The following is an 18,486-nucleotide window of genomic DNA, read 5'->3' on the forward strand; positions in this document are numbered from 1 at the left end:
AGCCTCAGTGAAAGTACAGCAAACGGAGCTTGGCACAAAGCAGGCCCTTGATAAACTTCTCATAGATTTTCTTAAACAAGCCACTTACAGAAGGAATGATTTCCCTGATCCCGGGCAATGCTGGCCTGGACAGAGTGCCGATACACTGGCAGCCTCATATATATTTAATAAATACCCACCAACGAGTGATAACAAAGCAAAAGCAACCACCAAAATGTGCCCAGAAAGGACTTAGTATTGTGTCTGAAAGTGGCCCCTGCAAGGGTGATGAACAGTAATGACTGCCGTCACTCAGATGACTTTGTCCTGTTTGGAGCATCTTTCTACTCTAGTATTTCATTGCAATTGATGGGCTTCCTTGTCGTGCTCCAAGCATTCAGGGTAAACACAGCTCGTGGGACACTTCAAGTCTTGGGGCTGAGAAATGTGTGTTTCCACTTGCCTGCAGGGCCTGCGAGAGAGACAGCTTGACACAGGAATCCTTTGGCTTCTCACTGCCCCTGCTGACCCAGCCCTGATAAATAAGCCAGCTAATTGAATTAATAAACAACTCTTTTTTTTTTAACAGCCAGCTGGAGTGCAATCAAAATGTGTGATAAATTATCTGTCACTGCTTTAACCACAGCAGGGGGAAAGTGGAAAAATTAGCCACTCTAACCCTTTCTCGGGGCTCCCTCCCTCCTGCTCATTTTGCTTAGCTATAGGATTTTTTTTTCCCCCTCCTGGTCTTCTCACTCTGGCTGAGGTCCAACATAGAGTTGAAGTGAGTGGAGAAACGTATCTGGCTGCCCTGATGATGGATCCTTAAGCCCCAGCACGGCAGTGGGATGCAGAAATTTCGCGCCAGTGTGTGGGAAAGCAAGATTTGTCTGCTACCCTGGCAGGAAAGGTTCGGATATGAGCCTGTGGTTTAAGCCCACAGGATTCTTGTTAAGGGATGGGGGTGTGATGTGGTTGATGAGCGAAACGAAGGGTTATGATGTCTGCTTTCTCTCGCTCAGCCTCTAATGCCAAACAGCTTTTGGGCCTTTCTGGAATGAGTGCAAAGGCCTCACCAGAGTTGTGGGGAATCGAAGCGGCTGCTTGATGCACTGTTTGCTTTTCACCCTGTTTTGCACCTTAGCAACCTTCTTCAATTTCTCTCTCCACCCTCTTTTCTGTGTATCCTAGGGCCTCATTTCAAGTCACGATTGTTAAAGGTATTGATTTTTACAAGCCATTCTTCAGCATTGTTCGTCAGAATCATGCAACCTATTAATAGTCCTGTACAATTTAAGGAGGCTTTTCTTTATTCATTTTTCTGATGATCTCCAGTGCAGTTTCTCCAAGTTGGAAAAATAAACAGTCACCATCAGGCTAAATTCATGTGTAGACATCATTAGGCTTTTCTGTGTCAACTCACTCTGTGGTGTGGAGACCTCCCAGGGTTCACCGGGGTTGGGAAGCATCTGGGTCGTATGTCCCAGTTTAACACCATAATTCTCTCAGAGGTGCTTGCGTTATAGGATGTCGCCTTGTGTAATAATATACAAATCATCTGCATGGAACGGCCCAGAACTGGCAAGAGATGTAGGTTGCGTGAATGCAGGGTTCTCGATTTGTTTGATTCATGGGCTTCTAAACACACTTCGAAGGAGCTCTTCTCCAGAGCATAGGCTCTTCACTGCCTGTATGGAGCAGAACTTTTCATCCACTGCCCTGAAATGGGATAAAGCGATGGTTGTTCTTTTTGTTTTTTCCAGGAAAACAGAGCTCTGGGAAAACGTCATGTCATTGCTAAAGTCAGACCTTGACCACTATCAGGCAAAACTTGAGACCACACTCCTTGTTAATGTTTGATTATATTCTTATACTAGAATGTTTACTGCAGGGTTTTGTGCTTTCATTGGCATTTTCAGTCCTGGCTGTGCTAGGCCCCTCTGCAGATCCAGGGCTTCTTAATGGGGTGGGAGTGGGTCAGTGGAGAGAGGAATTAAAGTAATTCTGAACCAACAATGTGAAGTATTGTGCTTGTGAAGCTCCAGGACATTCACACCTCTGTGGAACTGTAAATGCCTGCCCTGAAGAATGCACTTGAACTCCACGGGATAGAATCCAAAAATTCCAATAAGGATCCTGTTTAAAGGGTCATATGGAAACCTCTGAGCAGACTTCTACATTATATCTAGAACGTGGTCACGTGTCATCGTGCCTCCTTCCTCCCCTTACCCCCATGCAGCAGATCCAATGGCATCAGGGGAACAGATGATGATAGTTTCAAGAAAACTAGTGATAGTGTCAGAGGCTGAAAGAAGATACAGCCAACTTGTACTCAGTTTCATGGCTGCCCATTTTACAGGCCTTTCTCCCCACCTTTTCAAAGAAAATGAGTAGCATAAAACAGAAAATTAAAACTTAAAGTTGGCTTTGATGTGCCCTGGATGATCTAAGTAGAGAAAAGAAGGGAAGTTACCTAGATACTTTATTTATTTATTTAGAGATGGAGTCTCGCTCTGTTACCCAGGCTGGAGCGCAGTGACACAATCTCGGGTTACTGCAACCTCCGCCCCCTAGGTTCAAGCAATTCTCCTGCCTCAGCCTCCCAAGTAGCTCAGATTACAGTCATGCACCACCACACCTGGCTGATTTTTTGGTATTTTTAGTAAAGATGGATTTTGCCATGTTGGCCAGGCTGGTCTCAAACTCCTGACCTCAGGTGATTCACCCACCTCAGCCTCTCAAAGTGCTGGGATTACAGGTGTGAGCCACTGCGCCAGGCCTATGGCCTACCTAGGTACTTTAATTTGAATATTTCCAGGCCCCTCTCTTGAAATTCTTTATAGATAAAAGATAGGGTGGGGATGGGAGGCAAGTCCTCCTCCCGACTCTTATTGACTAAGAAAATGTTGAGTCTGTCTTCTAAAAAGGTTTATGTGAGTGTTATTGGAATCTCTGGATTTTGGTTGATTGTTTGAAAATTGAAGTATTAAAGCCACTACCTAACTCAGGGCCCACTATCATTGTTTTCCTGTGAACAAGTGGAGTCTGCGCCTCTTCTCCCACCCCACCAGCCAAAGTCCATGTGCAAATCTACTGAGTCACTGACAAGAGAATGTCAGGGCTAAAGCTTTTTATGTAATTGCTTTTGGAGAACTTCGTAGGGTTGGAATTATTTGACAGATAACAGAATATAGTGTAAAAACCATGTTAGGAAGCCAGCAGAAGAAAGCTGAGAGAAGTTCCCCAGCTGCCATTGGCCAGGGAGAATTTAGCGACGGCCTGGATAACACTCCTGAGGTCTAGGGTCCGCCCATACCTGCTGTGCAAATGAGAAGGTTGGCAGATCCTACCTGGACAGCACCTGTCCCCAGCTGAGAAGAGACATCTGCCTGTGGGTTTAACTAACTCTGCCCCTCCCCATGTGGCCCAGTGGCTGACACTGTCTCTGTGGCTCCTGAAAAGAAGTGGCCCAGCCTCAAAACACATTGACTCAATGCCACAGAAATTACATAGCACATGGGCTGTTAGCACTTTCATACTTCCTCCTTGTTTCTTATTTAGTATTCTAGATGCAGCTGAGTGCCAGACTAGTCCCTAGGGCAGCAGAGAAAGCCTGGACTGGCAGTCAGGAGGCATGGGTTCTAATATACCTTCAACTTTAAACTTGTCATGTGTCACAGTGGCTTTTAATCTCACTGGCTCTCAGTTTTCTAATCTGTGAAATGAAGTATTCTTGGGCCAGGTGGGCTCCACATCTCTTTCAGTTATTAGATCCTATGGTTATAGAAAACTAGATTCTCTTTTGTCGTTGTTTTTTGAGACAAGGTTTTGCTCTGTTGCCGAGGCTAAAGCGCAGGCTGCACTGCAGCCTCGACCTCCCTGGATCAAGCCATCCTCCCACGTCAGCTTCCTGAGTAGCTTGGACTACAGGCATGTACCACCACACCTGGCTAATGTCTGTATTTTTTATAGAGACAGGGTTTGCCTTGTTGCCTCGGCTGGTCTCAAACTCCTAGGCTCAAGCAATCTTCGCACCTTGGCCTTCCAAAGTGCTGGGATTACAGGCATGAACCACCACGCCTAGCCTGAAAACTAGATTCTTAACTCTGCTATCATCATTGCCATTCTTGAACCACAGAGTGCTTTAATGAGCTTCATTAAGTACAGAGAGGATATGTCACAAAGACATTTTGTTATTTAGCTGAATTTTGATACCAGTCAATTTTAATACCACATGATAGTGGTCCTGTGGTGTCTCCTTCAAAGTAATAAAATAAGTAACATTGATAAATGTCATTTAGTCATGGTTTAGTTAACCTGGCTGTCAGGTTAAGGCAAGGTTTCTCAGCTGTGGCATTATTGACATTCTGGGCTGGATAATTATTTGCTGTGGGGCGAGGGGGCTGGTAGTCTGTCCGGTACATTGTAGAATGTTGTTTAGCAGTGTCCCTACCCACTAGATGCCAGTATCACAGCACCCTCCTCCTCCCCCAAGTTGTGACAATCAAAAGTGTCTCCAGATGTTGCCAAATGTCACCCAAAGGGAAAAACTGCCCTCAGTTGAGAACAACTAGGTTAAGCCATGACCAGGTTAGGCCAGGGTTAACTACATAGATTTGATTTGTTACCAACTGAAAACACTAGTTAGCCCCAGAGCAATAGCACCATCTATTTAATTCAAGTTAGAACAATCTAACCTCATTCTAAAATCTCAACAGAAACAATCCCTTTAATCTATCATGTTACAGTGCATCGCAGGCAATGGAATCTACTGCATTTTGAGTCTTTTGGAAATAGGCAGTATCATCTTTGTCTTGGTATTCTTACCGTGCACAAAGTAAACGCTTAGCAAATTATTGAAAGAATAAACAACTTGCTCCAAAACACCAGAGAAGTGCAGAATGAGGAGCTGCCATGCTCAGGCAGTCATTCTGCATGATTCTTATTCTACAGGAGGAAATGAAGCAAGTGTTTGCCAGTTGGAAGGGTAGAAGGAATCTTTGGGAGGGAGGCTGCCATTACCCTAGCTGAAGTGAAGCCAGGTTAAAACCCTCTTCTGGTTTAAAAAAAAAAAAAAAGCCATGGAACATTTAATGACGAGCCTCAGTACATCACAGCCCACGCTGTACATCACCCAGGCTCCCTAGAGGGAAATAAGAGTAAAAGATTCAGTTGCTTTACGTCTTCTGTATTCCTACATTGACGTATATTTTGGTGGCATGGGACTGTGGAATCTCAGATGTGCATCTGCCATGTTAATCTCCCTAACATGGGAGTCCTACTGGTTTTTCTGATGTGCCTGAAGAGTAAGACTTTAAGTTGCATTTGAAATGTTTCACTCAGTTGTCCTGACAAGATAATTTTCTCAGAATACACAGAAACCACCTGTATTTGTCACTATAGATGCTAGTACTGCATTGAGTTTGTTTTCATGCTTGTTGTTTTATAGGTATTATATGAATCACTGAATGCAAGCATTAGGTCTGATTCATGAGGTTCGTGGATTTCATCTGATATTATTTTGTAATCATTAAGTTCCGAAATGAACAAAGTTGATTTACTGTGAGAGTGTTCGCCTCTTAGCTGGGTATTTGTCATTTAGGAGGAAATCCACCAGACTAGTGCTGCACCGTATCTTTCAGTCCCCTCTCCCCATCCTCACTGGGGATGTCTTAGTTTCAAAATAGGTCTCCCCAAGAGGTCCATTTATTGAGTTTGAATGGCAAGTGCTTTGGAAACACCCTGCCTTATCAGCACTCTATAAAATGTTCTCGGTTATAGCATCCTTTTGATAATATAGTTAATTAACAACTGATGTTACAGAGATTTTAATTGTGAGATCAAAATTAAGCAAAGAGCAATGGAATAGAAAGAGCACATTTGTAGGGCTTACCATCTCTGCACATGAAACCAAGGCTCAAAATTAGGATTCAAAGAGAAGTGTAACTGTTATTTCAGAAGGTGGATTCATACAGCAATGAGTATCAGTTTCATCAGCATGGGTCATGAATACACATTCCTAGAGTCCCAGATTTCTATCTAGTGATACATACTCTATCCTTAAATTAAAAAAAACAAAAATAGATCAAAATTTTAAAACCTGGGGTGAGAGAAGAAAGAGACTTAAGAGAATGAGAATATGCCTCTGTTTCCATTTACTTTCCCTCTGTCTGTGTCTGTCCAATCTTCCACCCCAAGAACACCAAGGAAATCAATGTTGTAGACCCAGATTGAATTTAAGATTTTTGAATGGAAGGAATGAAAGCACTTAGGTGCATTTTCTCTTGTTGGAAACTGATTTTAAAACTTTTTATTACTTACGTTTAGGGAAACATTTGGGGTTGGTTGCAGAAGGGTATAATATTTATTTATTTCTTTGTTTACAAATTGAATTTTAGTGCATATCCCTCCTTCTTCCAGGAAGGATTTTAAGCTTCTAAATAATACAAATCAATTCAGTTCATTTAAAAAATAGTCCTACTCATAGCAAATGTTATCCAACCATAATAAATTGAATATTTGGCTATTGACAGTTGCCCTCCTTGGCAAAGCATGCAATATGTGGTGTCTCACCAAGGAAGCTCAGTGATGATCTACTTCCCGTAGTGAATGGGCTTTGGAACGAAATCAAAGGATACATTTTAGCAGAAGAAAGAAAGAAAGAGAGAGAGAGAGAGAGAGAGAGAGAGAGAGATAGAGAGAGAGAGAAAGAAAGAAAGAAAGAGAAGGAAAAAGAAAGAAAAATAAAGAAAGAAAGGGAAAAACTAGCAGGCACTGAATCAGTACCAAGAAAAACAATCCCTCCTCTACTTTGAAAAAGATTCACATTCAGATGGGCTTGGTCCCATCAGTTAGTCAGACCAGAACCAAGTGGTGAGCTCACTTATCGTGGACATGCTGAAGGAAACGTTTCAATCGAAACCCAGAGTAGCAACATCTGCCTAGCAGAAGCAGTCACTAAATGCAGAAGGCCCTTCCCCTGGTAAGTTGAGCTTCACCTTTGTGAGCTCTCCAGACACAAATATGCTCCTTAAGCATGATGCTGTTCGTATTAAGTCAGGCTGGTTGGAATATGTCACAGAAATGGGAGAACTACCCACTGCTAGACCTGCCATCACCATTTCCACTTGGCTTAGTGGTTGACACATTTGGTTAACCATTTTGTTAGCCTCTGGTTAACCACTTATGGTTTGAAAACCTTACAGAAGTGGGAAAATTTCCATACACAATCTTATGCATATGAAAACAACCGTATAGGATACAATTCCTTCCTTATCTACCACATCAAATCCACACCAAATCTTGCTGGCATATGGTGAAAAGAAGAACCCACTTGATAATACCCCTTTGGTGATTAATTTATCTGGAAACTAGGGTGGAGTGGACAATTCTCCAAAAAAAGGAATTGAGCTTCTTTTGAGTTTGGAATACTTTGACTCAATCTTGTATTCACTTCTCTTTTGGAATGATTCTGCCTTATCATTATACATTTATAAATACCAGTGCCCTTGGATCATGTACGTTTTCTACCTTCAGCTAGAGCTGACTTGCTTTCTTTCTTGCTACTCTCGCGCATCTTCCTTCTTTCTCTCTGTCCTTGTTTCTCACCTTCCTTCTTGCCTTCCCCATCTTGCTCTTTATCATCTACCATCTTTCTTTTAACCAAGAGGCTCTCCAGCTAAGTAGGTCACACCCACAAAGAAAAGCAGGAGGTTCAAATTCCTTCCCTTTACTGACTCCTAAGAGATCACTTAACATTTCTTCACAGGAATTTTCTATATCTCCAAAAGGTAGGGAATAATTTTTGTCGCCTATTTCATAGCTTAATATCTGCAAGGTACTGATTTAGGGCAAGCTACTATATATTATTGTCAGTCCCTGGTGAGCAGTTGCTTAAAAGAAATTTGGAGTCAGAAAAGAAATTGCTTGAGCTGGAAAAGAAGACAGATCATGAAAATGATATCTTAAGCTTGTAAGAAGATAAATTTTTAGAGATGCCATTTTCAATTAATAAATCAACCAGAAAGCTTTCTATTTGGCATTTTTAGAATGGTACTCAGTTGTGACAATGTGATTTAAGGAGATGGTTCCACACTTTCCTCCCACCACCCCCATTACTTGTGTTGTAGGCAGTAAAAAAGTAGATTTAGATCTCTGGTTCATTGAATTGTACACCATAAAGACAATAGAAATGGAGACGTAAAAAGATAGCTTAGCAAGGGCCAGTGATTCTACCGTCAAAAATGTGCCAAATAGGATGGGTGTGGTGGCTCATGCCTGTAATCCCAGCACCTTGGAAGGCTAAGGCAGGCTGATCACTTGAGGCCAGGGGTTCGAGACCAGCCTGGTCAACATGATGAAATTTCATCTTTACTAAAAATACAAAAATTAGTTGGCATGGTTACAATCGCCTGTAATCCCAGCTACTTGGGAGGCTGAGGCATGAGACTTGCTTGAAACTGGGAGGTGGAGGTTGCAGTGAGGCAAGATCACACCACCGCATTCCAGCCTGGATGATAGAGCAAGACTCTGTCTCAAAAAAAAATTGCCAAATAATAAGTGTCATATCACATGGAAAAAAAAAAAGCAAAACTAGAGAAAACTCTGAAACTAGAAGAAAGTATAGAAATGCTCAATATTTTCTAATACCTGATTATTACTGAAATTTTAACAATGTAGTTGAGAACCAGTATGATTTGGATGCGTATCAGCTCAGAAGAAAGTTGCTCCTCATTTTTTGGTTGGAAATGCTGTGCACTGTCATCTTCTTGGGCATAATTCAAAAGCTCTTCTTAAGCGTAACTTTCTAGACACACACACGGCCAGATTCTTAATAGATTATGAATGACTCTTCTTTAAATGCCTCGAATGTAGACATGCAGGGGAAAGAAGAAAAGATTCCGTATTTTTTATTCTGGCTTCCTTGAGCACAGCTTTCTTCTCCTTGGTGTGGCTTACCTGAAATACTGAAGATCATGCTGTTATCAGTGATGACTGGCCTTCATCCTGTGGCCCTCAGAGACTTCTACAGGTCTGGCTCAGGGAGACCAGGCAGTGGACAAATGGCATCATGGATTCTCAGTGTGCTCAGAGCCCAGGGGCTATTTACAAATGTGCTGTTTGGGTGGTCAGGTGACTGCTGGGTTGAGTGCCATATGACCCAGACCATTCACAGGCAGACCTCCTCTTTAGCAGGATGGTAGAACTGTCACAGCAAGTTGATTTGGCTATTGGTCCGATGACTTTGGACCACTAATAGCAAGCCAAAGGAAGTAAGGCAGGTGCTTAAGAATCAGAGAGTATTGCAATCCCTCTCTCTCTCTCACTTCCCCTAATCCCCACCAACTCCTCCTCCCTCTGACCACTCCTCTCATATCGGTGGTGAGTACTGGGAGCCCCCACACTTTGAGGTCTCAGGCAGGGGTGAGATTCAGAGGCAACAGATGGCAAGGAGGACCCAAATACACCATCACTATTTTCCCAAGGAGAAAAAGCAGGACTGGACACCCACAGAGCACATTAGACAGCCTCAGATATGGATACCAAGGGACAAGACAATCTAAACTTCCATACAGTCAACTTACCCTATCATTAGAAAAACCAGGAGACTTCTTACTAGAAAAAGTTTGAGGCCCTGTTGGCCAGAACACCGAATGTCTACGACAGAGGCCCAATGGTACACATCTTGCTATTTCCCAACAACTGGAGGGAAGCCAGATGACAGCTGTCTCGAGGGGTAGACATGTGTTGGGAGAAGGTTCCATCTCCAGTCCCCTGAGGGCTTTTTAGTCAAACTTCCAGATTCCAAAGTTTAAGCATCAGTTATTGAGATGCCCTCTGGGAATGGAGCAAAGGACAGTGTCCATCAAGCGAGCCGAGCACAGCCGCCCTCCCAAGGGCTTGGGGGAGGATCTGCTAGAGAGCTGGGTGATGTGGCAGCGACTGGCTGTCCCGCCCAAGCAGCACACTGCCAAATCCTGCACCTCCTGCAGCACACACTGCAAAAGGACTGTTGTCATGATGGTCACCAAGCACATACCCAAGGACTACTGTGCGTTGAAAAGGTGCCATTTGTGTAGCTAGAGTTGCTCTCTGTCCAGCTTGCTTGGGATTTGGGGATGTGTAGCATTGAAGAGAAATCACTATTCATTGCACCCCTTTTTGCCAAATAATTAGGTCACTCACTCAGGAAAGGCCCTGTGATACATATGTGGAGTAAAGTTTGCTGTGGGAACTTGAACTCTGAATTTCCTGACTTCTGTGCAATTAAAATCCCAAAGTTAATGCTGCATTAGCATGGATTTTCCATGGTGGGTTATAAATGCAAAGTTCTATGTTTCATATGTATTTTTCTAACATATGTTACTGCCTGTGTTTCTGATTAAAAGTTCATCCAAAATAAAATAACAAGGGATTACTTTTTTCCAATAGAACTTTCTTCTTCGATAAAAGCTGGAAATAAGCCCTTACCTAAAGTTACCCAGGTTTGCAGGTGCTGAGACTTTAGAGGTGAGTAGTGTTTGTTAGCAAGACAAAGGGCATTATTCTCCCTGCAATCACCAACAGAAAGCGTTCTTTCTATAAAGAAAATTATAGGCCACTGCTTCAAAGACATTACATAGTTAGGCACTACTACTGGAGACTTTCAGGCAGCAGGCAGGCTGGCAATCAACAAATATTTATTCTACTTCCATTGTGCATTTAGTGACTTTAAAATTCCCAGGGAAACTAGCATATAATATTTTCTAGGGCCAAATTAGTACCTGAGGTCATGACATAATGCTTAAGGAGCTCGGCAGCCGGAAAGGAACAGCGGATCTCTAATATCTCACCTGAGTATGGGGACATTGATGGAATAAGAAAATCAGACCCCCAAAAAGGCTTTTTAAAACTGAACTTGTCAGGGCATTTCTTCCCTTTCGAACTCCTTTAAGAGACACCCAGCCTTCATTCCCTACATGTGCATACCTGCACACACACACACACACACTCTGTCACCACCACCACTGTCTCTGCCCAGAAGTTGAACCCAACTAAATGGATCAATTCATCAGATTTTGTTAAAAAACTAATGAACACTTTTTAGAAATCATCAAACGTGCCAAGATGTATATATAGGGATGTTCGTCCCAGTGTTACAGAGGAAAAATAGAAATAGCATGCCTGCCCATCAATTCAGAATTGGGATACTCCCCTAGAGAAAAATCCAACACTATTAGATATGATGTTTAGATCTTTGGTGGGGGCAGGCAGGTGAGGGACCTGGACTTGTATGGCTCACATCATGGCCCTGCGGAGAACAGGACTCTCACTCTCTTGAGTTCTCTAATTTAGTTTTATTGATACAGCTGAAAAATCACATCAGCTGTTTTGATGTGTGCATTGCATAATGATGCTTTGCGAAGTCAAAATCCCCACACCCTTCTGTTACATATATGTTAGCCCCAAGCTATATCTCCTCTAAGCTGCTTTGGATAGTAGATGCTTTTTGTTTTGTTTTTGTTAAACCAAGCATAAGATGTTATTCTGATTCCTGCTCAATTTCTCATTAGACAAGATCTTTACGGATACTGATTCTTCATCTGGTGCGTTAAACACTCTCGACTAGCTTTGTATTATACACAGTTGATGGCTGTGACTTCTGCATTTTCTCTTTGGTTCTAAGCCAGCTGGTAGATAATAGAATTGTAAGAAAAGGAGGGTACCAGTATCTGGCAGAGGAGCCAAATTCTCTGAGAAAAATACTAAAACCCTGGCATTGACTTTGGTCATTGTAGGGCAAATATCTTTTTGGTCTTCGTTGTTTCATAATACAGTGTTTCGCATAAGGTGGCATCATAATGAATATTAGTAAGTCTCAGATGAAGTCAAGAGTTCTCTATCAGCCCGCTGTCAGAAGAAAAGACATTCTTCTTTTGCTTTCTTTTTTAAAATATTGTTTAAATTGAGGTAGAATCCACATAAAATAAAATTAACTGTTTTTCTTTCTTTTTTTTTTTTTTTGAGACAGTATCTTGCTCTGTTGCCCAGGCTGGAGTGCAGTGGCATGATCTCGGCTCACTGCAACCTCCACCGCCCGGAATTCAAGCAATTCTCCTGCCTCAGCCTCCCAAGTAGCTGGGATTATGGGCGCTTGCCACCACATTCCGCTAATTTTTATATTTTTAGTAGAGATGGGGTTTCACTATGTTGACCCGCTAGTCTCAACCTCCTGACCTCAAGTGATCTGCCTGCCTTTACCTCCCAAAGTGCTGGGATTACAGGTGTGAGGCACTGCACTCAGCCCAAATTAACCATTTTAAGGTGTGCATTTTAGTGCCATTTAGTACATTCGACGTGTTGTGCAACTATCATCTTTGTCTAGTTCCATAATATTTTCATTATCTCAAAAGGAAACCCTGGAACCATTAAGCAGTGACTTAATCCTCCCCTCAGCCTCCAGCAATAAGTAATCTGGGTTTTTTGTCTCTATGATTTAAGTATTTCTAGATATTTTATGTAAATGTAATCATACAAAACATGACCTTTTGTGTCTGGCTTGTTTCATTTAGCATAATGCTTTTGGGATTCATCTATGTTGTAGAATATGTCCGTGTTTCATTCCTTTGTACGGACAAATAATATTCCATTGTGCTTTATTTTTCATCAAAAGCTGATATTAACTTCACCCCTACCCACCCACTCCTCCCTCATCCACAAAACAACTCTACTCAGTTCCATCGACTCTGCTGTATATCTTTATGGTTTACACAGATTCTCATCTCATTATGTACCCCCATTTCACAGAAGACGAATTTGAAGCTTAAGGTGATCAACCAAGGTCCTGGAGCCAGGCTTTAAAACCAAGACTTCTCACTCTAAGTCTTCTGTTGTTTTTCTGAAGTTCTCTGCAATGATAACTTTTCTTTCTTTGTTTTAGACATTCACCCAACTCATTTCTCCAATAGATTTCTTTACTTAGTAAACCTCAACTTGGATCCTTTCTCTGATGAAATAGGGAGTGAAGAATCATGCCCTCCTTTGTTAGGTAGATGAAGGCACATGGCGCTAAGTGGTTTACTTCTCTAAGGACCTAGAGCTGCCTTATGATGGAGCTAAGACTAGCTCTGGCTCTCAGGATAGAAGTTTGTTCTGAAAGCTGCTGAAATGCACAGTCTCTTAAAATGCTCACCCTCCTGCTGAATTATAAAAGACAGCCACTGAGTCCAAGAGACGCAGGGAAGTGGTATCTGCAATAAAATAATTCTATAAATGTGCATTCATTAATTTCTTCATTCAGCAAGAATAAATTAAAGGCTCACTCTTACAGAACTGTAATTAATATATGATTTAGATATTAATATGGAAAAGGCTGGCAGGGAAATTGCTAAAATTTGTCTCTGGGGTTTGGCTTTTTAGACATCAAAGTGCAATGTATCACCTAGCACTTAGTCTGATCAAGCACCAAATTCTTTTTCTTGCTTACATTAGATCCGCTGAAGGTCTACTTTTCTGAAATACCATCCTTACTCATGAGCTAGGATGGTACTTCATCCTGTGATACTCCTGGCATCATTTCCCAATGGACTAGAGTATTGATTTCTAATACAACTCCTTTGTGTTATTTACTAATTATATCCTTTCTAATATCTTCAGTTAGTAAGTTTGAATGATGTAATGTGACAAATCATAGGAATATTTATTTTTCTAGGTCTTATGGAATCCTTTTCCTCCTGGGTAATGTTTCCTTCCAACCTGGCGGACTTATTTGAAGTTTTATTAGCAAACCAAAATCTAAATCAGAATACTTAAATTGCGGAACCATCAAAGCTGAGTTACCTTATGAAAGTTTTAAAAGGAATAGATTTTATTCCAAGTGATTAAGCCAAGTATGATCTTAGTTAATCCCATGCACAGCACGGAACTGTTGTTTTTCTGTCTATCGCCACATCTCCAAGTTTGAAAGCATTTGGGGATCTAAGCTGGCCATTTACAGTTGTTAAATTCAGTGGATAAGTATCAATTTGGGCTTTTTTAGTAATTCAGAAAGAATTTCAGAAATCTTTGATACCTAGAGGAAGTTGGTAATCATTGCTATTAAAAGCAATGAAGTGAAGGCTTCATGCAGTGAAGGCTTTTGGTCTCAAACCACTGACTGGACCCTTCAGAAGCCTGTGTTGACTGCTTTTGTGGATCAACTGTGTTTGGAAAGTGAAAAAAAAAAGGAGAAATTACAGTAATGCTTTGGAGAGGCCACAGAGGCCAATTATTTTGTATTTGGAAGGAAATATGAATTCAGATTTTGTCATATTTGTATGTAGAGAGCCTCTTACTTCTGTGGTCAACCCAGAAACACTACATTTTGATACTTTCACATTTTTTTTCTGGAGCAAAAACCAACAGCCATTTATAATTAAAACCTTTCTGGAAAGAATACTCCAACCTTCCTCACTCTCACTCAATTGAATTTCAATTAACATTTAATAATTCGGCTCGGCTTTCAGAGTCTATAAAGCATAAGCAGTCAGCCTTGTTGAAGATGGAGAAGCGATGTTTTCACAGTTCCACAAATGTTTCTAATTGGCATGAACCACTTGCTAATGGGAGATAAATTGCCCAGGGTGGGTGTGGGTGGGTGTGCTGCGTGTGTGCACACTCACGCAGGCACACAAGCATGCACGCTCGTGGCAGTAATGACGTGTGGGTGTACCCAGGCTTCACTCGACATGCCAATGATGCAAACTTGAGCTAAACGGGAAATTAAAGAGGGACCAGGGCTGGGCCATGACAGCAGCGGCCACACTCGGATGGGAGGAGGCGAATAGTTGGTTCCTTACCAAGAACCCGGCAGCAGGCCCACCCTCCCGTCGCGGATAGTGGACAGGAGCTGAGAAAATACATGGACCAAATGAAAATGACTCCTTTTGACTGAAACTACCTGTGCGTCAGGCTTCTCGCCGCCTCCCCTAATTTTCTCTGATATAAATGAACATGGTAGAAGATGACAGAAAGTCGACAAGAATCATTTTTCTTTCTTTCTTGCAGTCATGTCAGTAATAGCCCTGGGTTTTATAGCTGAAAAATATATGTTTATTTGCTCATTAATTTTCCTCTCTCTCCCTTGCCTTTTCTTGGCATTAGGTGGAATGTTATTTAAAACAAGACACAGTCCAGCTTCAAAAAGAAAAATCATTCTGCAAAATACAGCTTAGACCCATTTACTGGTCATTTATCATCCCTAAGAGAGTGGAGTAGAAATTTCTATATTTGGGAGATTTGAATGATTTACAGTGCAACTGTGACTCTTGTTGGCACCAGGATCCAGGGACGCAGTAGGTTCCTTAGGACTTCGAAGAGTGTCCCACACTGTTTCGAAATGACATGGAGAATATTCACTGTGGCACATGCAGAGCAGCTTGATAATCACTTATCTTCACTGCATTCCTTCAAATATGACACAGGCTGCTGCTCAGAGGGTAGACTCAACCCAGAGGCCTATCATTTTCTGAGGGGTGATCAAAAGTCTTCATCTCCACATCTAAGTGTGTATTTCTTCTCTCTGGTGTTTTAAAAAGCTTGGTTTTATGCATCTTCCACTTCCTTCAAATAGTGGGCAAATAACAATGTGCCTATTATGGTACCTGGCACATAGTTGAAGCCCAATAAACATTTGTTGAGTAAATAAATAGTTAAGTAGAATGTTAAAAGCATTGCTAGCATTATTGTCTTGGCCTTAACAGTGCAAGAATAGACTTGAGGCAATCAAGTAATTTCCCTTAACAGTATAAGCTAATTATTTGAGAGATGAAGATCTGGTGCATCGTATTTATTTGTCAGGTTCCATTTGCTCCTAATTAAAGGTGGAAAAGTTGTTTGTAGCTTTGAAGGGATGGCACAATGACCCACTCCTACATAGATTTTTTTATTTTCCTTGCCACGTTTTCAAGGAAAATACATCAAGATAAAATTAACAGGCATTCCTCTTACTTACTTCTGTTTTCTTTTCTCTGTTACTGTTTTCTAGAGGGCAGGCAGGGTGTGGAGCAGTAAACTGTTTTGACTGTACTTTTACAGCCCATCTGCCTACATGACTTCTGTAGTTGATTCTGCTAACCTTGGTTGACTAATAAAATCATCCTCCCACATAAATACCAGCTACAGTGATCCAAGATTAAAATGCTGCATTTATCATAAGCCTCAGAAAGTTTAATTCATTCATTCCTTCATTCATTCCACAAATATGAATTCAGTGTATCATATGTATCAGGCTCTGTGCTAAAGCTGTGTATTTAACACTGAGCAAACTCTAACATGGTTTCTGCTCTAAGCTTACAATCTGAGATGGTTGATGAATATTAATTAAATAATCATACTCAAATTATATCGCTACAAACTAAACTATTTTTTAAAAGAAATATGGTTCTACTAGGACCATATAACAACAGGAACTGATTTACACTAGGAGACCAGGGAGAAGTTTACTAAGGAGAAGGCTGGACTGAAGAAAGGGGATGTCTGAAGTACATCTGAAGAAAGGGAAAGAGCGTCCTAGGCAAGAAGATTGTGAAACGCGAAGGCCCCATGTCTGGAGGGTGCATGACGCGCCCTCCAGAAACTGAAAGTTGGCCAGTGTGGCTGGGTGGGAAGAGAAAGGGCTGACGGGAAGGCAGGCCTACGCCCTGCAGGGACCACAGCTAGGCCATATTAAGGGCTTGGACCTTCATCCCCTGAGCATTAGACAGACTTACAAGGGTTAAAGCCAAGGGTGAGGAAGTAGAGGCAGGGAGAAGGGATACATGGCCCTTATCATGTCTGTGTTTTGGAGTAGGGGAAATGTAAGTGTCAGTTCTTCACAAATACAACAAGGGAGATGAAGATGCTGAGCCCTGGACAATCCTTTCTTTGCTGCAGATGAGGTTCCTGGAAATTCTTTACCATCCACTCTCCCTTCCACTAAATTTCAGAAAGAGTGCATCCAGGTCCCTAGCTGTGTGCTGAGTAACACTTGCACGTGGCCATTGCTGGACCATTCGGCAATAACGTCTCCTCTTGTCAGCTCTTCTAGCCCCTTCTCGCGCTTTCTGCTTTTCCTTTTGATGATGGGGAGGTGGCAAAACACAGTTCATTTCTCTCTTTGGCAAAGTGTGAATGGCATGGCTTGTGGCACCTTCTCTCTTGGTTTAGAGAACAGGCTTTGGAGTTAGAGTGGCTTTGCCTCTCCTTTAGCCTTACACGGTTGTTCTGAGGATTAGGTAGCTTGATACTTGTAAAACATATAGAACAAGGACTGGCACATAGCATGTACTTAGTTAATGTTAGCCATTATTATTACCTATTTTTGCAGATATAGAAGGCTGTCAAAGATATATTGCTAAAGGGACAAAAAGCAAGATACAAAACTATGTATTAAAACAGCTTGATTTTGTGCAAAGCAAATGTCTGAGGATATGTGGTGGTTACATCTGAGGAACAGGACTGGGGTTTAGGGGAGAAGGCTAGGCAAGTGGCTTTTACTTTATTATCTAATATTTTTGTAGTAATTGATTTTTTATTATAAAAAGTATACTTTTATAGTAATGAAATTACAAGGAATAGTTTAGAAAGTCCATACTTTCCATCATGTCATTTTTTTAAAAAGGCATGATGATTTCAACATAACCTCTTTTCATATTTTTTCATCCTTAAATTCGGAAGTATCATCCAAAAACTTCTCCTGGGGGTAAAGAAACATGTATCTAAAACCCAGCAATTCCCCAGATTTTCATTTCTTTGCTGTGCCATAGTCAAATAAAAGTTTTTAAAATTACATGCTATTTTAATTCCACAGTTACAAAATTATTCTAGTTATTCTTTCATCTCTCCATATACATATATAGAGTTGTCTGGAATGCTGTTCACCCACCAGATATAAACAACGCATTTGGCTTCATTGTTGCTGACTTCATTGCAAAGCATTGCTTAAATTTTTATAATAAGCATTTTTATAAAAACAATGAAATCATTGCTTAAAATTGGAGATGAGAAGTGTTAGTTCACTTTTCTGTTTAGAAGTAAACATGGCCGGGTGTGGTGGCTCACGCCTGTAATCCCAGCTCTTTGGGAGGCCGAGGCAGGTGGATCACGAGGTCAAAAGATGGAGACCATCACAGCCAACATGGTGAAACCCTGTCTCTACTAAAAATACAAAAATTAGCTGGGCATGGTGGCACACGCCTGTAGTCCCAGCTACTCAGGAGGCTGAGGCAGGAGAATCGCTTGAACCCGGGAGGCAGAGGTTGCAGTGAGATCTTGCCACTGCACTCCAGCCTGGCGACACAGCGAGACTCCATCTGAAAAAAAAAAAAAAAAAAAAAAAAAAAGGAGGAAACACAGTACCCAGCATCTAATCTTTCCCAGACATTTAGGATGCTGAACTTCTTCAGGATTATGAAGGTCAGTAGCTGTTGTGCAGTATCTGTTGCTCATGAAAGAGGTGAGAAGTAGACTATGTGGCTACCGAATCGGGATGACAAAAATATTTTAAATGAT

The 18,486-nt window shown here is 41.5% G+C and overlaps 1 protein-coding gene across 13 annotated transcripts in view, besides 1 other annotated feature; it reads left to right on the forward strand.

Annotated features, from left to right (window-relative positions):
* CREB5 (cAMP responsive element binding protein 5) overlaps nucleotides 1-18,486 on the forward strand; it is a 526,574-nt gene that overhangs the window by 484,468 nt on the left and 23,620 nt on the right. The gene's annotated exons all lie outside the window — the stretch shown is intronic.
* Nucleotides 9,429-10,138: an enhancer, noted in NCBI's record as "H3K4me1 hESC enhancer chr7:28832834-28833543 (GRCh37/hg19 assembly coordinates)". NCBI's record gives its function as "activates a minimal SCP1, AML or CMV promoter by ChIP-STARR-seq in naive H9 embryonic stem cells {active_cell/tissue: H9 hESC(naive)}" and the evidence as "EXISTENCE:reporter gene assay evidence [ECO:0000049][PMID:30033119]".

Source organism: Homo sapiens, chromosome 7 (genome assembly GCF_000001405.40).
Source record: "Homo sapiens chromosome 7, GRCh38.p14 Primary Assembly".
Classification (NCBI taxonomy): domain Eukaryota; kingdom Metazoa; phylum Chordata; class Mammalia; order Primates; family Hominidae; genus Homo; species Homo sapiens.